The sequence below is a fragment of the Homo sapiens genome, chromosome 12 (genome assembly GCF_000001405.40).
Source record: "Homo sapiens chromosome 12, GRCh38.p14 Primary Assembly".
Taxonomy (NCBI): Eukaryota; Metazoa; Chordata; class Mammalia; order Primates; family Hominidae; genus Homo; species Homo sapiens.
The window spans coordinates 12,425,906-12,450,620 of NC_000012.12; the positions used below are offsets into that span (position 1 = coordinate 12,425,906).

The 24,715-nt window shown below is 42.2% G+C and overlaps 1 protein-coding gene across 6 annotated transcripts in view, besides 4 other annotated features; it reads left to right on the forward strand.

Moving 5' to 3' along the window:
- BORCS5 (BLOC-1 related complex subunit 5) overlaps positions 1-24,715 on the forward strand; it is a 114,156-nt gene that overhangs the window by 68,828 nt on the left and 20,613 nt on the right. For all 6 annotated transcript variants that reach the window (NM_058169.6, NM_001330356.2, XM_011520551.3 and 3 more), the window contains one exon: positions 9,723-9,880. In NM_058169.6, coding sequence (NP_477517.1) covers positions 9,723-9,880 — 158 coding nt within the window. The remainder of the gene's footprint in view (positions 1-9,722; positions 9,881-24,715) is intronic.
- Positions 6,510-6,804: a silencer, noted in NCBI's record as "tiled region #7135; HepG2 Repressive non-DNase unmatched - State 7:EnhWF". NCBI's record gives its function as "represses a minimal TATA promoter and a strong SV40 promoter by Sharpr-MPRA in HepG2 cells {active_cell/tissue: HepG2}" and the evidence as "EXISTENCE:reporter gene assay evidence [ECO:0000049][PMID:27701403]".
- Positions 13,271-14,470: an enhancer, noted in NCBI's record as "MED14-independent group 3 enhancer chr12:12592110-12593309 (GRCh37/hg19 assembly coordinates)". NCBI's record gives its function as "activates an origin of replication core promoter dependent on BRD2, BRD4, P300/CBP and CDK7 cofactors, and independent of MED14, by STARR-seq in HCT116 cells {active_cell/tissue: HCT116}" and the evidence as "EXISTENCE:reporter gene assay evidence [ECO:0000049][PMID:35650434]".
- Positions 13,750-14,044: an enhancer, noted in NCBI's record as "tiled region #10190; HepG2 Activating DNase matched - State 5:Enh, and K562 Activating non-DNase unmatched - State 24:Quies". NCBI's record gives its function as "activates a minimal TATA promoter and a strong SV40 promoter by Sharpr-MPRA in HepG2 and K562 cells {active_cell/tissue: HepG2 | K562}" and the evidence as "EXISTENCE:reporter gene assay evidence [ECO:0000049][PMID:27701403]".
- Positions 20,173-20,342: an enhancer, noted in NCBI's record as "experimental_25257 CRE fragment used in MPRA reporter constructs". NCBI's record gives its function as "activates a minimal promoter by MPRAs in K562 erythroleukemia cells, with activity observed for the introgressed 12:12599097 variant allele {active_cell/tissue: K562}" and the evidence as "EXISTENCE:reporter gene assay evidence [ECO:0000049][PMID:34662402]".

Here is a 24,715-nt window from a genome sequence, read left to right on the forward strand (position 1 = left end):
GACTGGGGACTTTGAGACAGTGAGGAAATTAACACGAATTGTGTGCCTCCTCTTTGCTAGGTGCTGTGGTAGGCATAACTTTATATAGTTCCCATAATACTCCTTTAATATGTCACACTTACAGATGAAGGATTTGAATTAAGGGAAGTTAAATTTAGACTCCCTCAACATCACACAGGTTTTAAATGGCAATCCTTGGATTCCAATTCCGGGTCTACCTGACTCCAAACTTTTTCATTATACCATGTGGTCTCCCTTCCCTAGTCTGGTAAGTTCAAACAGAGAGCAAGCCTGCGAACCTGGAAATTGTTTAGGGCAGATGAGCAGTTGAACATTTACTTAATAGGAGACAGAGAATCGTGCTATATTGCCGAGGCTGGCTTTGAACTTCTAGGCTTAAGCAGTCCTCTCACCTCTGCATACCAAGTAGTTGGTAACTACAGCCTATTCCATTTTACTTAATTATTCAAGAGGAAAAGGTAGAGATTGTGAAATGCTAATTTTATAGCAGTGAACAGGATTCCTCGAAGACACTGAGGTGTGTCGTTTGTGGATACTGATGACCTTTGGAAATACTGTGTCTACTTTTGGGTGTGACATCCTCTGTTCTTGTTTCTTTGGTACCATAAATTAGGGCCACTGGCCATGGCCAAATGGGTGCCTAACACAGAAGGATGAAGTGCTTTTCATTGCTTACCACAAATTCCCTTGAACCCTTTACTTCTCTGAGACTTAAGAAATGCAAGAATAAAGGGAACAGAGTTTTATCAAAATCCTATTGTGTGCTAGGCAAACCCTAGAAGGGACATGATTATTATCTTGCTTTTACATATGAGAAAATTGAGGCTCAAAGATGTAAGATAAATTGTCCAGATTCACACAGCTAATAAATAAGGGAGCTGAATTCAGCTTTTTCCATGCTGCCTCCATTAAAAAGTTCCTCTGTCTTGCCCTCTGGTGGGTTTCGGAGGTCCTGGGAGAAATGTTTGTATCCTCACCAAACATTGTGGTGGGTGGCATCTTACATGGGGCTTGTTCTGCACTTGCAGTTTCTTCTGCCACATGGTTTAACCAGAGCAATGATGACTGCCGTTGCCCCCTCGAGGTTAGCACTCCTCTGAGGTCACAGGGTGGGGATAAATGTTCTGAAGGAATCAGCCTTAGAAAGCACACTTTTTCTAAGTATCCCGAAGGAATCAATCACTAACGCACATCACAAAATTCTCTCCAAGTTGGGAAGATGGTTTTAGACTTTCTCTTTCTTTTCTTTTTTTTTTTTTTTTTTTTTTTTTGAGGTGGGAGTCTCGCACTCTCGTCCAGGCTGGAGTTTGGTGGCACAATCTCGGCTCACTGCAAGCTCCACCTTCCAGGTTCACGCCTTTCTTCTGCCTCAGCCTCCCAAGTAGCTGGGACTACAGGCACCCGCCACCACGCCCAGCTAATTTTTTGTATTTTTACTAGAGATGGGGTTTCACCGTGTTAGCCAGGATGGTCTCGATATCCTGACCTTGTGATGGGCCCGCCTCGGCCTCCCAAAGTGCTGGGATTACAGGCGTGAGCCACCGCGCCCGGCCAGACTTTCCCTTTCTTTAAGAAGAGAAGGGAGTGCCTTTGAGAACTAGAGTTTAAGTAAAGGATACATATAGCTTAAGTGCTTTTATCTTTGAAATATACTATGACCAATAGACTCGAAAATTTCTTATTGTTTTTGGGGGTATCATAGTCAATTTGGGCTCCTATAACAGAATACCATAAACCGGGTGGCTTAAACAGCAAGCATTTATCTCTGATAGTTCTGGTGGCTGGGAAATCCAAGGTCAAGGTGCCGGCAGATTTGCCTCTGCCGAGGACCTGCTCCCTGGTTTGCAGATGGCTATCTTCTTGCTGTGGCCTCACATGGCTGGGAACAGAAAGAGTGAGGGGAGGCTCTCACATCTCTTCTTCTAGTGACACTAGTCCCATTCATGAAGCCTCTATACTCATGATCTACTCACCCACTAAGGTCCCCACCTCCTAATACCATTACACTGGGGATTAGGATTTCAACATAGGAAATTTGGGGAAACACAAACATTCAGTCCATACGGGGGAATTTTCTTTTTTCAGAATCTGTTGTTTAATTATACCTTCACAGTAACTTTTGTCAAAGTTATATTTAATTTCTACTTCCTGGATTCTGTAGCAGTAAATGGAGCTCGTTATGTGTCCCAATATTTGTAATACTGATTTCTAGTCCTAGAAGTATCTAAGCCTCTCAGAGTTAAGGAATTCGGTTTGGTAATAGGCTAAGCTAATAGCCATATGGCTCTGCACTGTGCTATAGAGAAACTGTGGGTTTCCCCCCACCTGACATCTCAGAATGAAAAAGATCACTCTGCAGAATATTTCCCACACTTCTAACCCTGATGATTTTTCCACTCAACATTTTACACAAAGAGGTAGGTACAGATGGTAGTTTGCTGGATCTCTGGAATATTCAGTCTTGGTCTTCACTCACTCCCTGGAGCCTACTCCTCATTTTTGTATAAGCAAAGTGGTTTAAACAGGGTCTTAGGAAATATCTCCAGTATTTACCATTTGCAAACCTAACCCTTAATATATGGAATCTGTTAGATCAGGTTTTTAACTCAGTAAACATCTTTGGGTGCATCCCCGTATTAAACTAAAGAAGAAGTAGAAAACTGAAGGCAATGGCCCTGTTGCTTAACTGTAAGGAACATGTAATTTAGAAACTTCTTCTCTTTAACATGGAAAACTAACCATAAGTATGTGGATCAACGTTCTTCTTTATGGAGTATTAGGAGTGAAGTGTCATGATGTTATGGTGTTTTTAACGGCTCAGCAAAAGAAAAAAAATTATATAGTGAGATGAAGTAGATATGACAAAATATTAGTTGTTGAATCTAGGTGGTGGGTATTTGGGTATACATTTTTCCCCTACTTTTCTACATTTAAAAATTTTCATAATAAAGGGTAAAGCAGAAAAATCCTAAGTGTAAAAAACATTTATAAAACTATACAAAAAATAATTTCAAGGTTCATTCTCTATTAATGGTATTGGAGTTGGTAGGAAATAATTAAAATAGGAGTATAAATCCAGAAGCCCGCAGAGGCCAGGCAGGTAATGTGGGTGAGTGGAGCTGCCGGGCATTGGACAGGAGGGAGATGGTGGGGACTGAGCAAACAGGCAAGTGCACAACTCATTGAAAGCATTCCAAAAATTTAAAAAATCTTAATGCTCATTCAGAATGAAACACTTCAGAGGACTGGAAGTTTGTGGTCTCCTAAAAATGACAAAATTTACCGTCTCTAAATTTGCCCAGCTTTCTGTCCTTCTCCCTCTTTTCAGAAGATCCAGGAGAGGCGTAGCTATCAATACGAGAGGGAGATGGTTTCCTGGCACAAGAGGGTGATGGGAAAACATTGTGTTCAATGCCTCTAGAATTTGCCTGGGTTGCCACAACTTTGTTGCTTCAGGAATGGAAAATGTGGCCCATCTTCTTATTTTCTCTGTCCTGTCTTGCTCCTGCTATGACCCGGGGCAGGATTTGCGGTGGGTTTATGGAGATTCCTATGAGTCAAGGAAGCACATTCTGAGGATAGAGTCATGCACCTGGGTTTTGTTTTTAGATGGTTAGAGGGAGGCTGCAATTGTGATTTATAAGAATGACTTAAAGTGTAATTCCTTTGATTTTGAAGTTGGCTAGGCAACTTAATTTGAACATCCTAGTGTGCCTATTAGACCTGGCAACCTTCTCAAAATCCCCCTCCTACTTCCCTCGTTTCCCTCACCCTCCACCTTTTTCTCAAGAGGTAGAAGTGAGAGTTTTGTTTTGTGAGCTAAGGTTGGGTTCTGGGCCCTCTGCTTCAGCCACCTGGCAGCTTGGGCTGGCCCTGTAGCCTTCCTCCACTTCATTCTGCGATTCAGGCTCCCAATAGTCTTCTGAAGCACCGGAGAGCTTCCTCATGCACCTTAGAAGAGCAGATTCAGACTGAGACAAGGACTCGCTCTTAGGCATATATGCAGCCTACAGAGATCCTGGGAAGCCTTTTTCCTCCTAATATCTTCCTAGACTTATGCTTTCCTTGGAATTCCAGCAATAGAACTGCATACTCGTACCCTAATCAAGAACCTTTTATGTACTAGGTGCTCTACTAGACATGAGATAAAAAGATAAGCAAAACGTGGTCCCTGTCTTCAACCAGCTCACCATTTGTTATACCACTTTAATCACCTTAGAGAAAATTTTTTTTTTTTTTTTTGAGACAGAGTCTTGCTCTGTCACCCAGGCTGGAGTGCAGTGGCAAGATCTCGGCTCACTGCAAGCTCTGCCTCCTGGGTTCACGCCATTCTCCTGCCTCAGCCTCCCGAGTAGCTGGGACTACAGGCGCCTGCCACCACGCCTGGCTAATTTTTTTATATTTTTAGTAGAGACGGGGTTTCACCATGTTAGCCAGGGTGGTCTCGATCTCCTGACCTCGTGATTCGCCTGCCTTGGCCTCCCAAAGTGCTGGGATTACAGGCGTGAGCCACTGTGCCTGGCCGATAAAATGTTTTAAGATGTGTTCGGCCATATGAACTTTGGTGAGAATTAAAGATGAGGTTTTTACTTATGGAGTAGGGGGCACTTGGGATGGGTGAAGAAGGGAGAACTGCCCTGAAGTTCTTACTCATAGATGAGGAAAAACCTCAGCTTTTTGTTAAAATGAGTTTATTTATTTAAAAAATATTTAAGGGGGAAATGCATTCATTTGGTTAAAAAAAGTTCTGTTAAAAGTATACTATGAAATTCCCCCTCTTTACCCCTTGCCTCCATCTAATTCTTATATATCATTTCAGAGTTTATTTATGTAAATATAAGTAAATCTGAACATATACTCTTGTTTACTTGCACCCCAACCCCCATTTTTATGCAATGATAGCACACTCTATGCATCTATATACCTTTTAAAAATTTTATCTTATGGAGGTTTTTTTCCATGTAAGTACATAGAGAGCGCCCTCATTCTTTTCTTTGTTCATGTAATACTATTTATAGATATACCCTGATTTAATTAACAGGCCCTCTATTCAGGGACATTGTGGTGTTTGCTGACCTTTGCTGTTACAGTCACTGCTGCAATGAATACTCTTGTATATACATCATTTAGCTTGTGTGCTACTGTGTGTGTAAATTCCTAGTGGTGAAGCTGTTGCATCAGAGGCTATGCATTTGTAATTTTGTTATCCATGCCAAATTGCCCTCCTCCATAGGGTGTTAACAACTTACACACTAAGCAGCAAAACCTCTTTCCTCACAGCTCCACCTACAAAGTATTTTTCATGCTTTTCGTTTTTACCAATTTGACAGGTGAAAAATGGGCTTGTGGTAAAGTTTCAATTTGTTTTTCTTATTATAAGTGAGGTTGTGCATCTTTTCTTATAGTTGAGGTATTGGTATTTCCTTTTCTGTGAAATATCTTTTCATAACTTTTGTTCATCTTTCTTTTGCTAATTCTTTTTTTTTTTTTTTTTTGAGACGGAGTCTTGCTCTGTCGGCAGGCTGGAGTGTGGTGGCATGATCGCGGCTCACTGCAAGCTCCGCCTCCGGGTTCAAGCGATTCTCCTGCCTCAGCCTCCTGAGTAGCTGGGAATACAGGTGCCTGCCACCATGCCCAACTAATTTTTGTATTTTTAGTAGAGACGGGGTTTCACCATGTTGGCCAGGATGGTCTTGATCTCTTGACCTCGTGATCTGCCCGCCTCGGCTTCCCAAAGTGCTGGGATTACAGGCGTGAGCCACTGCGCCTGGCCCTTTTGCTAGTTTTTAATTTGCCAATTTCTTTTCTTGTTTTTTTAGAGATGGAGTTGGATCTTGGCTCACTTCAGCCTTTGCCTCCCGGGTTCGAGAGATTCTTCTGCCTCAGCCTCTCAAGTAGCTGGGACTACAGGTGCATGCCACCACACCCACCTACTTTTTGTATTTTTAGTAGAGATGGGGTTTCACCGTGTTAGCCAGGCTGGTCTTGAACTCCTGACCTCAGGTGATCTGCCCGCCTCAGCCTCCCAAAGTGCTGGAATTATAGGCATGAGCCACTGTGCCCAGCCTTATTTGCAATTTCTAGGCACTCTTTATATATTAGGAAGTTTACCCTATGTGATATGAGTTATCACAATAGGAGGAAAAAGGCTTCCTGGGGTCTCTGCAGGTTTTTTATTTTCCTCAGATTTTGGGTATTCTTTTTGTATTTTAAATTTTAACTTGTGTTTGTTGTCATGAGGAGTCTTGGTTTTTGTATTGTTGAATTTATCAGTGTTTCCTTTATGGCTTTTGCATTATCCTGGTCCACTGTTAATGGCACAAAATCGTTCATTCCTTTTTCCATGGTGCCTCCTTCCTCTTTTCCTCTTTCAATTTCGGATTGACAGCAAAATGCTTTTGGTATCTTCTCCCAAGTTTGCGTTCCTGGAAATGTATTTCTTGTCAGTGATAGGGTAGCCCTTGATAGTTTTGTTAGGAGATTTTAGTGGTCTGTAGCATTCCCATTTTCTTGGTACAGGCACTCTGGGAAACTGACAGTTTCTTATAAAACTAAACATGCAATTACCATATGACCCAGCAATTGCATTCTTGGGCATTTATCCCAGAGAAATGAAAACTTATGTTTACACAAAAACCTGTACATGACTGCTCACAGCAGACTTGTTTGTAATAGCCCCAAACTGGAAACAGTCCAAATGTCCTCCAATGGGTGAATGGTTTAACAAACTCTGATACATATATACCATGGAATACTACTCAGAAATAAAAAAAGAATTAACCATTGATATATCAACAACATAGACACATCTCTAAAGTTTTATGTTGGGCAACTAAAAAGATTCAATCCTAAAAGCTTACATCATGTATTATTTCATTTATATAACACTTTTGAAAGGACAAAATTTTAGAAATGTTGAATGGATTAATGGTTGCCAGTGTTTTAAAGATGGAAAGGGGGATGAGAGAAAGAGTGGGGTAGGTATAGTTACAAAAGCAGCACAAGAACTCTTTGTGGTGATGGAACTTTTCAGCATCTGACCATGGTGATGAATACATGAACTTGTGTATAGGAAAAAAAACTAAATACAGACACAAATCAGTGCAAATAAAATGAGGAAATCTGGGCTGGGCACAGTGGCTCATGCCTGTAATCCCAGCACTTTGGAAGGCTGAGGCAGCTGGATCACCTTAGGTCAAGAGTTTGAGATCAGCCTGGCCAACATGGTGAAACCCTGTCTCTACTAAAAAATGCAAAAATTAGGCAGGAATGGTGGCACATGCCTGTAATCCCAGCTACTCAGGGGCCTTGTTCAATTGCTTGAACAAGGTTTCAGTGAGCTGAGGAGATCATTCCACTGTGCTCCAGCCTGGAAGACAGAGCGAGACTGTGTCTCAAAAAAAAAAAAAAAAAAAAAAAAAAGGAAATCTGCCCGGGTGCAGCGGCATACTCCTGTAGTCCCAGCTACTTGGGAAGCCAAGGTGGGAGGATCTCTTGAGCTTAGGAGTTTGAGGCCAGCCTCAGCAACAGAGGGAGATACCATCTCTAAACCAAAAAAGGGAGGGATGGGTAGGATCTGAATAAGGTCAGATTATATCTATGTCAATATCCTGGTTGTGATATTGTACCATAGTTTTACAAGATGTTTCCATTGAGGGAAATTGGGTAAAGGGGACACGGGATCCTATACATAGGATCTCAATAAAAATTTCAATTAAAAAATTCCCAATTTCTGCTAATACTGGATTCACCAAAACATACTGCCTGGAAGCAGGTTCAGGTCAAGTAACTGGTGCTCTCCTGTGTTAGGACTTGTAGTGCAGCAGCTGAGCAGTGGAATGTGGAGGAGCCTAGCAGTGCCTCGGGTTCCAGCCCTGTATGCTGCTCTGTCTCAGAAGATCTGAGAGCATCGACCAGCATTTCCCAGGATTCTCTGGGACAACCTAGCTGGGTAGCCCTTCATACAGCCTGTCTGGAGGGAGAGAATACTGGCTTCAGCTCTAATATATCAGAACAGTGTGGTGTGGATGTTGGTGGTTGGGGACAGTGAGGGGTGGACATTGGTGGTTGGGGTCGGTGAGGAAGGGTTCCCAAGATGAGCTTTGGCCAGGTGAGGTGGCTTACACTGAGGCGGGAGGATCGCTTGAGCCCAGAAGTTCGAGACCAACCTGGGCAGCAAAACCCTGTCTCTACTAAAAATACAAAAACTAGCTGGCTGTGGTAACAAGTGCCTGTGGCCTCAGCTACTCTGGAGGCTGAGGTAGGAAGATTGCTTGGGTCCAGGAGGTCGAGGTTGCAGTGAGCTAAGATCACGCCACTGCACTCCAGATGGGCAACAGAGCAAGACTCTGTCTCAAAAAAAAAAAAAAAAAAAAAAAGCTTTGCTGTGCCCTGCACGTGACCTACTGTCATATGTATTCTGTGTTCCTTGTGCTGTAGCATTGGCTCTGCTGTGAGACAGAATGGTCTGGCATGTGGTAGGGCGATCACTGGGATCCCCAAGACCCTGCTAGGGAATCTCTGAGGTCAAAACTATGTTTGTAATAATACTTAGACATTATTTGCAAAACATGCTCATTCTCTTACAGAAGTGTCCAGTGGAGTTTTCCAGAGGCTAAATGATGTGAAATAGCAACAGATTAAATGCAGAAGCAGCTATGATATTCCAGCTGTTTTCTATTAAGGCAGACATTAAAAAGACATTAATAAAAATAAACCAGTGGCATCATTTCACTTTTTTGGTTTGGAAGAATATTTTCCTTAAAATGTTATTTTTGTTAATGTATAAAGGGGTTATCATTATATTTAAATGATTTAATATTTAAGAATGTTCTCAGTTTTAATTTTTATAGGTGAATATCAAAAGATAAAACTCACATAAAAGCTCTTTGGGGTCCTTGGTAATTTTTGAGAGTGTAGAGGTTCTGATAATTGAGAACTGTTGATTTGGCAGAAAGCAATAGGCTTAATTTCTAGACTGGGCTTTGCTTTGTGAATGTGGGCATCATTTGGCCTCTTCAATTGATTTCTTCTCCTGCAAATGCTATTAATTGCCCTGCTACATACCTATAAAAATATAATCCCCTATGCAAATACAGGGGAGATTAATGGTTACCTGGCTAAGCTGGTGTTGAAAGAAAATGTAAAGAATGAGTTTCTGGCCTGTTAGCTGACAGTCTGTTTACTTGTTAAATGTCTCCATTTTAGCATCTCCTAGCAGTTTCTGTATACATTTGATTTCTTTTTCTCAGTTTTTCAGACAACCATTTTAATTATTTTTAAAAATTATATTCCCACATTTTCAATTAATAAGGGATTTATATTCCTAGTACCTTGAAGTGATGTGATAAGGTCAGGAGCTCTGTTCTTGGAGAAACCACTTACTAGCTATGTGACGTTTGGAAAGTTACTTAACTTCTCTGTGTCTTGGCTTCCTCCTGTGTAAATGGAGCTAATAATACCTCACTTTCCAGGGCAGCTGTGAATACGAAAAATCGTGCACAAGAAGCACTTAGCAAAAGTGCTTGGCACATAACAGATGCCCCATAAATAATAATTGCAACGATTGTCATTAACATATAACAAAAGATGCAAGATTAAATTGAAGTCTTACCCTGTCTTCAGTGAACTTGTTAAACTACTTTATTCACAAGTTTATTAGCAGTAATTTTAATTTCATTTCATTTTTTTCTCCTTTGAAGGGCTATTGAGTGGCCAGACTTCCCCAACAAATGCCAAATTGGAGAAACTGGACTCTCAGCAGGTGTTGCAGCTCTGCCTCCGATATCAAGATCACCTGCATCAGTGTGCAGAGGCCGTTGCTTTTGACCAGAATGCTTTGGTTAAACGAATCAAAGAGGTAATGTGCTGCGGGAAAATAACATTGCTGACTGGTTGTTGTGATTCTCTGCAACTCTGGATGCCATCTTAAGACTTGACATTTGTCACTATTGCTTTGAGGAGATTGCTTTTTCCCAGCAGTAAAATGTGATGATGAAAAAAGTGGTCCACAGAGCTGGGCTAATTTAGAGTTTGAATTCTGATCACCACTGATTTGCTTGGCCAAGTTGCTTAACTTCTCTGTCTCAGTTTCCTCATGTGAAAAATGGGGCTAATAGTAGTAACTTACCCCAAGGGTTGAGTGACAGATTGCTTAGTAAGTGTTAGCTATTATTAGTGCATGTAAAGTCCTGCCATACTAATTTGCTCTAGCCACCATTCTGTCTTTGAATTGACTTTAATTGTTTCCTGTGTATAATTTATATTTTGTTTCCCAGTAGATTAAAATTTCTTTCAAAGCAGGAGCTTTGATACGAAAAGCTCCAGTGATTCTTAATGGTTTTATGGAAACAATTACGCCTATTTAACCCGCAAAGTTTTTAAAGGAAAGAAGCAATGTAATTCATGTGAAAGTACTTAGTAAACTGAAGCACATGATGCAAATGTTGTGTAATTATCAATCTCAGTAAATAGGTACTTCCTTTAAGCACTTAAATGTATCATTGACCAGCTGCTGCACAGCACAGTTCTAGGGGCATAAAGGAATAAGTAAGTACATTTTCCAAAGTTTCCAGTCAAGAAAAACTTTATATTCCTGATACCTTGATGTACTGTAATATCAAGGAAATGTTAGGAGCTGTTTACTGGAGAAACCACTTCTGTGAATGGCACTCCCAGATTTGTTTAACAAAGTGGCCCTTTAACTCTGGTGAGAGAAGATGGACATGGAGAAACAAGTGATGGAGCAAGAATCACTGCAGATTAACAATTTGTATTTAGCAATGGAGGTAGTGTATCCTTGAGATTACAAAGCAGTCATTAGTTATATTGACAGATTTAAATTTGCCAACACCTCCAACATTTTAGTGCTTAGCTTTCATAAAATGTTGCATGCATATACTCTTCTCTCATGGGTTAAATACTATTATTTGGAAAACTATTAAACATGACCTTTGATATTGCTTTTCATTGATGTGGCTTTGCAAATATTATAAACTTATTTTACTATATTATGGTCTACCAAGCTTTACTTTCCAAACATGACTATTCATTGGCATCATGTGAGTTTTTTGTTTGTTTTAATACTGAGTTCTCCCCTCCTCCCAGTAAGTCTAGGTGTGGTCTGTGAATCATTATTTTAATAAGATGTTATGGTTTGGCTGTGTCCCTACCCAAATCTCCTCTTGAATTGTAGCTTCCATAATTCCCACATGTCATGGGAGGGACCCAGTGGGAGGTAATTGAGTCATGGGGGCAGGTCTTTCCCATGCTGTTCGCATGATAGTGAATAAGTCTCATGAGACCTGATAGTTTTGTAAAGGGGAGTTCCCCTACACAAGCTCTCTTGCCTGCCGCCATGTAAGATGTGACTTTGCTCCTCATTCACTTTTAGCTGTGATTGTGATGCCTCCCCAGCCATGTGGAACTGTGAGTCAACTAAACCTCTTTCCTTTATAAATTACCCAGTCTTGGATATGTCTTTATTAGCAATGTGAGAACAGACTAATACATAAGTTTACCAAATGATACAATGCCACCCTCTATTACCCAGGATTTGGGAACCAGTGGTCTTAAGCACTATTTCTAAAATAAGTTCTACAAAACTAGTCCCATATAAAGAGGTCAAACGATTTGCATATTCCCTCACCACCCCTTGGAAAGTCACAAAGCGTATTATCTCACTTAAAGTTCTTAGGAGTCTCACAATAAAGAAAGCCAGACTTTTGAAACTTAGTTGACCTCAGAACACTTATCTTAGGTAACATTTATTAATGTCCCATAAAGTAGTGATTTTAGAACATTCTTTGGGAAATGCTATTGTAGACATAAGACTTTACCTTTTTAATTTTTTTAGAAACAGAGTCTTATGCTGTCACCGAGGCTGGAGTTTAGTGATAACATTCATAGCTCGTTGCAACCTCTAACTGCTGGGCAGAAGCGATTCTCCAACCTCAGCTTCCTGAGTAGCTTAGGACTACAGGTGTATGCCATCACGCCTGGCTATGTTGCCTAGGATGTTTTCAAACTCCTCAGCTCAAGCGATCCTCCCGCCTCTGCCTCCCAAAGCACTGGGATTACAGGTGTGAGCCACTGCCCCTAGCCAGACTCTACCATTTTTTACAGTTGTGCTAGAAGTTAATTAACTATGACATTAACTCTCAGAGAGGAGATCTTAGAATTATAATAAATTGGCTTTTTGATGCTTATTCTTTTTAAAAAGTCCTTTAAGTTCAAGACCAGCCTGGCCAACATGGTGAAACTCCATCTCTACTAAAAATACAAAAATTAGCCAGGTGTGATGGTGCATGCCTGTAGTCCCAGCTCCTCGGGAGGCTGAGGCACAAGAATCGCTTGAACCTGGGAGGTGGAGGTTACAGTGAGCCCAGATCATGTCACTGCACTCCAACCAGGGCGACAGAGCCAGATTTCATCTCAAAAAAAAAAAAAAAAAAAACGAAAAACAACAACAAAAACCTCTAATCCATATCTGTTGTTTTGCAGTTTAGTAAAGTGTGGTACGGAGAGATTAACTGACTAGCTCTATATCAGAGAGCTGGGGAAAGTGTTTTGTAGCTGGAAGTACCAGACAGAGCTTCTCATTATAGCACATTTTCAAGACTTCAGAGCAGTGTTTGTCAGCCCTGGTTACATGTTAAAATTACTCGGAAGTTTTTTCCTCCAATATATATGATGGGAAATTTTACACATATACTGAAGAAGACAGGGTAAAAGAAGGCGGAGTAACACAGTGAACCTTAATGTACTCATTACCAGCCACTACAATCATCAGCTTGCAAATACTCCTGTTTTATCCATATCCCCACTCCCTGCCACCCTCAACTGTATATTTTATAGTAAATCCCCAGACATTATTTCATTCATAAATATTTAAGTATATATCTTTAAAAGTGAAGGATTCTTTTAAAAAATAACTTTTAAATTTGAATTAATTTTAGACTTGGAGGAAAGTCACAGAAATAATTTGAGAGTACCTATATACCCTGCCCCATGCAGCTTCCCCTAAAGTTAACACTTTACATAACCTTCGTACAATGATCAAAACCAGGAAATTAGCTTGGTACAATACTAGCAATTAAATGGAGGCCTTATTTTGAATTTTACCAGTAATTCCACGAATGAATGACTGAGTCGTTTTGAAAGATGTAGTTATAATGCTGTTATACCTAAAATATTTAACAATGATACCTTAATTCATTCAGCATAGCTGAGGTGCTGTTAAGAAAATTCTGATGTCTGGGTCTCACTCCGAACCGATTAGATCAAAATCTTTGAAGGGTGATAGGGTTAGGGCGGTGGGATGTTGGGTATTGGTATTTATGAAGGTGCTCTAGGTGATTCTAGTATGTAACCAGGGGAGAACCAGTGTTTTGGAGCATTCATTTAAAAATAAACTGACTTTGGCGGGCGACATGGCTCATGCCTGTAATCCCAGCACTTTCGGAGGCCAAGGCAGGTGGATTGTTTGAGCCCAGGAGTTCAAGACCAGCCTGGGCAACATGGTGAAACCCCATCTCTACAAAAAAGACCAAGAAAAAAAACAAACAGGCATGGTGGTGCGTGCCTGTAGTCCCAGCTACTTGGGAGGTGAGAAGATGGTTTGAGCTCAGGAGGCAGAGGTTGCGGTGAGCCGAGATCTCCACTCCAGTCTGGGCTACAGAGCAAGACCCTGTCTCAAAAAATAAAATAAACAGTTTAAAATTCTGTTTGAAGAACTTTGGGATTCACTTTGAATAGTCAGTAATTACCCAGGATTATTGCAAAACAGAGACCAGCACTCACAGTACTGAGCAATACCTCAGCAGCGTGCTCGGGCAGAGGAGGTGAGTGCAGTTTTGGGGCTTTCATTGGTGGCGTAATGTGTCCGTCTTATCTCTGTTGGTGAGTGTTAGCAAACTCCTGAATCATATCCGTCCGTCTATGTTCACCTCAGACCTAAGGGTTGAAATTAGTCACTTCCAAATGAGTAAAGCAGAGGATGTCATTTTGATCAAACACCAACTCTCTGATATTATTCCAGATGTTTCCTGGAAATTTGGTTGGAAAGATGAGGAAGTAACATAATGCTATGTGTTGACAAGTGAGGGAACTTAATAACCATGGAGAATATGTGTTAGTGGAAGTATATAACCGGGATCAACTAGAGGTCCCTAAGATTACAGTACCTGTGATCACTTAAGTCTGGATCAAAGGGAAACATGGCTATAACTATTTCTGATTCAGATAAAGGAAAATCAGAGAGTTAGCTCAGCTTTCCTTATGTTAAATTTGGATGATGCTCTTGAATGAAAAGCTTATGTTTATAGATTTGTGTATGTGAGGGAGAAGAACGGAGGTAATTTACTTTGCAATCAGGGAGTCTAGTGACATACCTTAACTACTAGTTTCTTTAATGGCGATAGGCTGACCCCTCAGCCAGCACTGTTGAGCAGCTATTGCAGACCCACCTAGTGGGGAGGTCCTTTGGGGGTTCCAGAGACATGTAACATGGTCCTTGCTCTTTGAGAGTTTAGCCTCGCTGAGGGAATGAAGATATACAGAACAGAAATATGAAAAAGGCACTGTTGAAGGGGAATGCTCATTTGTTATTTATAACTAAAGTTCTGTAAGAGTTAAAGATTGGGATATCCTGGAGCAGACGGGGTTTAAGCTAGGTCTTTGAAAAAAAAAAAAAAACCAGGATTTGGGAAATGAGAGGAAGAGGGGGGCATTGCTGCAGGGGAACAGCTTGACAGTCTTAGAAGAAAATTAACTTTGGGGCTTCAGGGACACTGAAGAAACTGGCCTGAGTTTCAGTGAGCTTGCTCAGAGAAATCTCTGCATTAAGAACCACAGAATGTTGGAATTGGAAGGACCTTAGAGACCCTCTGGTCCAGTGCTCTCATTATTCAGATGCAGAAATTAAAGGCTTTTACAGAAAGTAAGCACTTCGCCCAGGTCACACAGTGAGGTAGTGGCCAAAATTAAGTTAAAAGTGGATGAAGATCAAAGGGGATTTTTTGTTATGCAGGTGGTGCACTTGAACATGTTTACAGGATGAGGGGGAAGAGGCAGATGAGACAAGATCAAAGATGAAGGAGAAAGGGGGATTCTTAGAGCAAGATCCCTGAGGAGGCAAGAGTTGGAGCCTTGTGGGACATCTGTTCTGAGAGAACAGGGAGGACGCAGGCAAGTTTATGACAGGAGGGTCCCTGGCACAGATCGGTCACACCCAGCAGCTTGTATCCTCTGTGGAGAAGAGGGAGGTCATTTGTTGAGTGGTCATGGTGACTGGGTACAGTAATGAGTGCCATTAGGCATTGAGGGCTCAGCTGAGGCAGGGCAACTTGTATTTGCTCTTTGTATTTGCAGACAATTTGGCAGAATGGTTCTGAGCGTAAACTCCAGAGCCACACTGCCAAGGTTCAATCCTGGCTCCATCTCTGACTACCTGTGTGACCTCAGGCAAGTCCCTTAATTCTTCTGAGCCTCAGTTTCCTTTTCTGTTCAGTGAGAACAGAATGACATCCACCTCAGGTTTTCGTGAGGGTTCAATGAGTTATTCTTGGTACAGTTCTAGGGACCACGCCTGCCATGTAGTAGACACTGTAGTGTTAGCTCTTTGTTATTGCTTTAAATATAAATGATGACTAAGGAGAAAGGCCTATCCTAATTGCCATGAATTGGCCCATTTGAAATTACTTGATACCAGCAGCTGTCTAAATATTGCCCCATTTTAAGTTCTGCTCTTAACAACCCAAGTATAAGCACTAAATAGAGGCAAGGCAAAAAAAAAATTTTTTTTTTTTTAAGCCCACTGTGGTTTCCTTCAAACCCTGCAGGATTTCTTTCATGCCATGAATATGTAGTTTTTGGAATTTCTGTAGTGAATTTAACTGTTTATTCTGCTTTGTGGATAGCATACTCGTGCCTGGGGAACATGGGTCTTGAGAAATGTGAAGCTGGATGGTGGCAAACCATTAGTCCTTGGCTTCTAGGCTGTGGATACATGGCTGCCTCTGATTTGGGGGATTTCCTGTATATTGCCTCATTTCTAGTTAAGGATTCAAGTTGACAGACACTTAGTTTTAGGTTACATCTATCATTGAAATGTGGGGTAACTGAAAAGCCAACCAGAAAGGAGTGTGCTTCCTCCCCAGGTGTGGTTTCCCTGGGGGCGAGGGATGAGGCTGGTGGCAAATACGCAGCCCCAGGAAGATGCAGCACAGACTTTTGGAGCTTCTCTTGTCACTTCCCTGGGTCTTACTTCTGCCTCATTCTAGTTGCTGTCAGTGGGTAAATGTGTTCATAGATTAGAACAAGTTGCAGCACAGACTTTTGGAGCTTCTCTTGTCACTGCCCTGGGTCTTATTTCTGCCTCATTCTAGTTGCTGTCAGTGGGTAAATGTGTCATAGATTAGAACGCCTTTGTAACTAAGATAAAGCCACAAGCTTTATTTTGTTACAGTTCCTGTGTGCTTGCTTGAAGGCCTTGAGAGTACATTCATGATATGATTCTAGTAACTCCTGTTTTAATTCTTAGATGTGTTGATAAGCATAGTGTATTGACATAAACCAGTATGAAGCATGGAGGGGGTTCAGATGAACTGGTAAGAAAAACTTGCAATCCTTGGAAAGCCATATGATTACACAGGATTATGAAGAGGCCCTAAGGTTTCTCTAATTTAGCCCTTTCATTGTGCAAATAAAGAAACCAAGGATCTTCGAGTGTATATGGGATTTGCTGGGTATCTTTCCATTAGATAATGACTAAGATGGTATTAGAAGGTGAGTCATCTTTTCCACTGCACCATACTACTTATGTTCTGCCTCTTTGGAGTCCTTCATTTCATTTTTGGTTATTCCTTTTTTTACATGGTAGGTCCTCAACTGGTGTTTGAAGGAATGCACGAGAGTTGCCATTCATGGGCCTGCACACAGGGCTGGGCAGGGATTTCTTTCTGTCATCGGTACCGTAATGTTTAAGACCCAGCTGGAGTCATTTTCCAAGTATTTGACCTGACTTCCTGTACTGTGTGTCCTCCCAGGGAGAGAGACTGATCCAGATTAAATGAGTAGTTCCGAGTGTTGCACAGAGCATCACTGTCTGAACTGGCATTAGCATTCACTTTGAGCTCCTTTGGTTAAAAGCCTGGTTAGCGTGAGCTGTTGGCCAGGTGAAACTGTTGCTATCGCCCTGACACTGTGAACCGAATCTCCTTTAAATGACAACATTGTTAGAGTCCTGTGGCCGCTTTTAAATATATTTTGGCTTCAGTTGCTTCTTTCTTGACCTGAAATTATAAAATGAGTTGGGAGTACCTATTGCAAAGCTGCAAATTTTGACAAGAACATTGAGATGTCGGCTTCTTTTTGCTGAAATCCTGAGGCAAGACATTTCAAGAAAATTTTATGTTCCCATAGAATGTCACAAGTTACTCTGGCATCAATTCCAGGTTGAAACCTTACAGTGTAATTATAGTTTCCCCCCTTCTTGTCCTTTGGGCAACCTTTCTTTTCTGTAAGAAATACAACTGGTCCCCTGGGTGGCAGGAAATCCAGGTGGGGGAGTGGGCTGCTTCTGGTTCGGCGGACTGTAAGGTATGCTGCACAGGGCTTCCTTGGGCCTGGCCCCACACTTCCTTTGCACCAGCACTGTCCTGCCAAAAGCCAGAAATCCTGGAAGAGGGCCGAATCTAGTTTATTACTTGCCTGTTGGAAATGTAGGCTTGTGTTTTTTGGCAAGGCATGAGCAGAGCCCGGTTATTTGACTGCTCTGAGATTTAACTCCATTCCGCTTTTGGACAATGACATATGAGCATGTGTGAACAGCAGCCCCATTTCCCCCCAGTTTGCCTGCCCTAGACATGCCCTCAGACAGCTGGCTCTGCCAGCTTTCCCAGTGCCAGGTTCTAGAGCCCCTGTTCTTCTCCCTCCCCTGCTCATTTCCAGTCCACCAGAGCGGGCAGTGTCAGAGGTCCCATGCAGCCTCCTCTCTTGTGAGGAACCCCAGAGCACCTGTAGTCTCTAAGCCAACTAGCCAGTATTGAGGGCTCCTGGGTTATGGAAATGAAACCAGGGCTGGGAAAAGATATTCCCTGTCCTGTATCACTTCCAATGAAGAGAAACAAGAATTTTAGCAAATTGAACATTGCTGCAGTGCCTAGAACAATGCCTGGCATGTAGTAGATGTTGAATAAATACTTGTTTAATGAACAACTTTATATTCTTCAATTATCTCATCCTAGGGACTGATAAGTTTTCTCATTCTATCAGAGAAAATAAAGGTTATGAGGGTTGCATTAGGTAGAGTAAGCTAGGCTACAGCTGTAAGTAGACTCAAAGATGTGTAATGGATCAAATGCAACAGAAGTTTATTTGTTGCTCTTGTTCAAGGTGGGTGTTTCTGGTTAGCAGGTGACTCTCCTCCATTGAGTTCAGGGACTCAGTTTCCTTCTATCTTGTGGCTCTGCCGTCCCCAAAGACCACCTTGCTGATAGTGTCCAGTGGCAAAAGGGAAAAAAGAGTGGACTAGCACAGTTAGGAGGTTCTTACGGGCCAAACCTATGAGTGTTGCCTATGACTTCGGCTAGAACTCAATTACATGGCCACAGCTAACTCCAAAGAGGCTGGGAAATACAGTCTATTGTGTGCCCAGGGGTACACTAAATTTTGAACATCTGTGTCATCTTCGAACTTAGATTCCTAAAATGCATCTGCAGCCCAGCTTTGAGATTCAGAAGGCCTGATGCAAGGTTCCATGGTAAATTTTGCTTGGTTTAAGTCCTCCTGCCAATGAAAACCAAGTGACATTAGGAACAGATCTAACAATAAGTTAAAAAAAAATCAAGCTATAATAGTTTATATTCAATATGATTTCAACTGTGTTAAATATTCTGTTTGTTTATTTTAGAGCAGGGTTGTCCAATATTTTGGCTTCCCAGCCACATTGGAAGAATTGTCTTGGGCCACACATAAACATATTAATGCTGAGGATAGCTAATGAGCTTAAAAACAACAACAACAAAAAAAACTCATAATATTTTAAGAAAGCTTACAAATTTATATTAGGCCACACTCAAAGCTGTCCTGGACTGCATGCAGCCCACGGCCGAACAATCTTGTTTTAGAGACAGGGTCTCCCTGGTCTCCTTCTGTTGCCCAGGCTGGAGTGCAATACCACAATCATAGCTTCCGGTAGCCTCAAACTCCTGGGCTCAAGTGATCCTCCCACTTCAGCCTCTCAAGTAACCAGGACTACAGGTGTGCCACCTACCTGGCTAATTTTTAAATTTTTTTGTAGAGACAGTGTCTTGCCATATTGCCCAGGCTGGTCTTGAACTCCTGGCCTCAAGCAATCCTCCTACCCACCTCCCCAAAGTGCTGGGATTACAGGTGCGAGTCATCGTGCCTGCCTATGTTAAATATTCTTAATAAATGATTAGACAGAAGGTAACATGACAGTGACTTAATTGTGGTTGCCCTTTAGAGATGAGATTATCAGTGGTATTTTGTTTTAGCCTGCTTCTGTTTTTCTGTATTTTACAAGATTTCTATCTTGAACATGCATTGCTTTTTTTTTTTTTTTTTTTCAATTTGAAATACCTTTTTTTTTTTTTTTTTTTTTTTTTAAACTGATGGGTAGGCTCCATCTTCAGAGATTCTGAGCCAGTGGGTCTGGAGTAGGGCCTGGTACTTGCTCTTTTATTTTTTAATTTAATTTTTTTACAGAGAGTGTCTTGTTCTGTCACTTAGGCCAGAGTGCAGTGGCACAATCATAGCTCACTCCAGCCTCAAACTCCTAGGCTCAAGTGATCCTCCTGCCCCAGCCTCCCCAGTAGCTAGGATTACAGGTGCGTGACACTATGCCCAGCTGACTTTAATTTTTTTTTTTTTTTTTTGTAGAGACAGGGTCTCGCTAGGTTTCCCAGACTGACCTTGAACTCCTGGCCTCAAGCAGTCCTCCCACAATGGCCTCCCAAATGCCAGGATTACAGGCATGAGCCACCATACCTAGCTTCTGTTTTGTTTTGTTTTGTTTTGTTTTCTCACAGTATGTGAATCTCATAAGAGTTCCATCTCCCTGCCTGCAGCTTTTTGACTCACCAGGATAGGAATATGCCTCTGAGAACTTTTTACGCACATGCCTTTACATGTCTGCTTCATTTATGAACTAGTCAGCTCTGTGTCAGGCCCTGTTGTAGGTGTCGAGGAAATATCACTACAAAACAGACAAGAATCCCTCCTTCAGAGACCTTACATTCCATTGTGGACACAGACAATAAACACGGTAAAAAAATAAGATAGATGGCATGTAAGATGGTAAATACAAGAATAAAAAAAAAAAGTAAGGGGATATAAAATGTCAGTAGGGTAGAAATTTTACATGGGGTGACACAGAAGGCCTTCCCAGAAAGGAACTTTTAATATAAAGACCTGCTGGTCAGTACAGAGCTAGCCAGGAGACTCTTCTTTATAACTCTGTCTAGATCTGAAATTTATCAGGTTATTTGACCAATGGCAACCCCAAATCCCAAGATTCTGTTCTTTACTATCACCCTGCTCACTGTCGTGTTTATCTGAATGTTCTGAACTAGAGTCTTATTTGCTATCTCTGTTGTTAGTTGGTAGGAGACTTGCAGATCTATACTCCTTTTAAAAACATCTGAATTGTTTTAGATCTCAGGGACTCCCAAAGGATTTCATCAGGAGGTGTCCCTAAAGCTTGAAGCAGCATTTAATTTTCTTCTGCCCACGTTGACAGACTGACTATAGTATTATAAGACTTTAGTTGACGTCCTGGCGATCCTCCATAGTTTTCATTTACACATGAGTAGAGAGCATTTCACTTGTCTAAGGTCCTTTCACACCATTGCTGGAAACTGCCCATGACAGCCAACCTGCAGCCCAGAGCAAAAGGCATAATGAATGTGGAAGGACTCTGCAGGACCATACGGAGCTATGTAAAAGAAAGGATTATTTTGGGGGTGTAAGAGTCATTTATATCAAATGCAGCCAGACAAGGAGGGATTGCAAAATGTTATTCTGTAGAAGTATGAGCATTAGTGGCGTAATACAGCATCATTACAGTGATGGTTTCTTCCTGTATCCCAAAGTCCCCCAGCCTCCTCTCTTCCCCTTTCTACCTGGAAGTTTACGAATTCTCTCTTTGCCCTTGCTGAGACTTAGATTCTCTGGAGTCTGTCACTCACCTGCCTCTCCATCAGATATTGTAATAGTCATAGTTGTATTCTGCAAAATCCGTGAAATTCACATGGCTCTAGCCTGAAATGTCCAGCCTCCACTCCTGCTCCCTGACTTCTGCTGTGCCCCCTCCTGCTGGTGTCTGCTCCCCTTCTCTGCCTGAGGAATCCTGCTCTCCCATCAGCAACCGCCAACATCCTGGCACATGCAGAGGTCCCGGTTTCCCTTGATCACAAGGGACCTCCTTCCTTATGCCTCCCTGGTGCACAGGAAGTGTTTGCTGGAACCGTTTATGTGGTAAAGTTGAGTCGGTGCCTCAGCCATCTGCATGAGGAATGACATGGGCCTCTGGACTCTAGATCAGGCTCCAGCCTGATGTCCCGAGCAGCCATCTATCATCCTGCCCGGGAGCACAAGGCAGCCCCAGTGGCAGTATACCAAATCATTAGACCAATATCATCATTGTCCCATGTGCGGTATCTTGGTTCTTTCTTCAGGCACGGGGTGGAGGATTTTAGCTGTAAAATATTTACCCACGCACCACTGCTAAGCTCTGTTCTCTGAGTCAAAAAGGGGTTGTGTTCACACATGGTTTGGGTGCATACACGAGGGAATTACAGAGCACATAGTCCAGTTTTCTATTGTTTCATTACCTTAGCTGAGGTTTTAAGATGTTAAGTGTGTCACTTTGGTCACACAAACTTACTTTTACCTCTCTTTAATTCTGGACATCGGAAAAGGGAGTCCAGGTTAGTGGCGTGGCTTGGAGCCTTTCCTTCACTATCCACCTGCTGCATCTGTGGAGGCTTCTCCAGCCCCTCACCTGATGTGGTAGTGACAGCAGCAATAATGTTGCAGCTGTCGTTTTTACATGTTTACCATGTGCCAGGTCTAGAATAGGCATTTTGCATATATCAGCTATATTTCACGATCAGCTGAGATTCAGAGACCTGAATGTGTTCCCGGTTACACAGTTGTCGAAGTGGAGCTGGGATGCAGGCTCAGAGCTAACGTCCACCTTCGAAACTCTAAAGCCGCGCTTCCTTTCCACCTCTTTGTCCATTGTCTTCAATTCTTTTATTTTTATTTATTTATTTATTTTTTGAGATGGAGTTTTGCTCTTTGTGGCCCAGGCTGGAGTGCAGTGGTGCAATCTCGGCTCACTGCAACTCCTGCCTCCCGGGTTCAACGGATTCTCCTGTCTCAGCTTCCCAAGTAGCTGGGATTACAGGTGCCTGCCACCACACCCGGCTAATTTTTGTATTTTTAGTAGAGATGAGTTTTAACAATGTTGGCCAGCTGGTCTCGAACTCCTGACCTCAGTTGATCTGCCCGCCTTGGCCTCCCAAGGTACTGGGATTACAGGCGTGAGTCACCGTGCCTGACCTTGTCTTCAATTCTTTTTTTTTTTTTTCTTTTTTTTGACAGATTTTCGCTCTTTCGCCCATGCTGGAATGCAGTGGCGATCTCGGCTAACTGCAGCCTTTGCCTTCTGGTTTCAAGCGATTCTCCTGCCTCAGCCTCCCGAGTAGCTGGGATTATAGGCGCCTGCCATCATGCCTGGCTAATTTTTGTATTTTTAGTAGAGACAGAGTTTCACCATGTTGGCCAGGCTGGTCTCAAACTCCTGACCTAGTGATCCTCCCGCCTCAGACTCCCAAAGTGCTGGGATTACAGGCGTGAGCCACTGTGCCTGGCCGTGTCTTCAATTCTTTAAGGTCTTATTCTTTCATCCTGTCTCCTGCTCATGCCCAATGTTCAAGCATGTTCCCTTACCCTGTATTCCTTTATAATACTCGCTGCATAGTGTCACAGTATACTTAGCATCTCAAAAGCAGTCTTTATAGGATGCAACCACACTTTAAAATAGCCCTGAAGACCCCACATTTACGTTCTTGAAGTGGCAACTCCGCCTACCTTGCAGGTAACTTCTTTATACTTCCAACCGTGCTTTGGAGAATGGGGCTTTTTAACAGTGTCTCAGAGGACTGTGGTGGTACAGAAGGTAGACAGAGAGTGGACTCATGCCTAGGAGCTTCATCCTTCCCCACTGCCACTCTGGAGGGGTTGCAGAGAGGGAGCCTCGAATTAGTCAGAAAGGGCTGGGGTGCTTGGTTACAGACGGGGCCTTTTCCAGGAGGCAAAAGATCTCAGATGTCTACGTGCCCTACACCGCTGTCTTTCATGGGACCCGAGGAAAGCTCTCCCAAGGAACGGGAGGAGTGGGACTTCTGTCCCTCAGGCTTTTATTTTTACTTGTGATGTTTTTCTTTTCCTGGTTTGCTGCCATCAATGCCATTTGCAAGGCCTTTTGTGGGGAGGAGGTATAATCTGCCTGTTTAGTTTTGGAAGCTGCTTAAAGGTTTTAGGATTTCTGTCCCACTTTCCCACCTAGACGTGATGCCAAGGGTAAGAAGGCATCGGGGAAACTGGGCAAGTCGTAAAGTAATTATTGGAACAGTCATACAATTCAAATTCCTGCCGTTCTGATATCGCTTAATTCTTTTGAAGACCTGAATAAAATGTGTTCTTTTTCTGAGACATTTAGATACATTGTTTGAACAAAGGAAACAGGGTGACTTCAAAATGTCCAGTATGTGGAAATCGATGCCGTTCAGCCTGTGGTGTAATTAATGAAAACATTGGCGACAGTCGGCCTCATTGTTTGTCATTGTGCAACAGGAGGTGGTACACTAATAAGGAGCCGGGGAAGGTTTACGTAATTCAGAAGGAAGCAGACGTGTGCAGTTTTGACTGATGCCCTTCTCACTGCAGATCCAGGCTCACCGAGCAGGTTCCTATTCCTGATGGACGTGGAGATGTCTGATTGGATTTTGTCATTTGATTTTTGACACTGATTAATGATAGATTTTTATTTCCCTTATGGTCAGAAATAATTGTCTTGAAAAGCTTCACTTTAGATCATAGTTTTCACACACAGTTATAATTCATTGGGTAAAGCATAGTAGAACAAACTATGGAAAAGGAAATGTCATTGGTAGACTTTGGTCGCTTAGGACAGGTGTGGTGGCCCTTGGAATCAGGAGATCTGGAGTTCTGTCCTGGCCCCATCAGTCCCAGCTGTGTGAGCTTAGGGATAGTGCTTGCCCACTCTGGGAGCAGCCTTCATCTGTAAAAGGAGGGGGTTGCTCAGGACCCTTGCACCTCCTTCCTTTTACAGATGAAGATTGCTTTGTCTAAGCCCCCTTGGTGAGGTCAAGAATTGTGAAATGTTTGTACAAGTGAGATGTCAAGAGTACAAAATGTACAGACGAACTGCCAGTGAAAATGTCATTTAAGTTTATCTGCTAACAGTTTATTCCCTTTGGTCTCCTCTCAGTTTTTGTTTTGTAATTGTCCATGTTTTGTCTGGTAATTTATTATTTTTTTTATTAGAAAAGTAAACACCAAAGTGTTTTTCCATTCCGCTTGACAGCATAACAAATTGCCATTTAAATTCATCTCTTAAGGATTTCAAAAAGGCATTAAACAC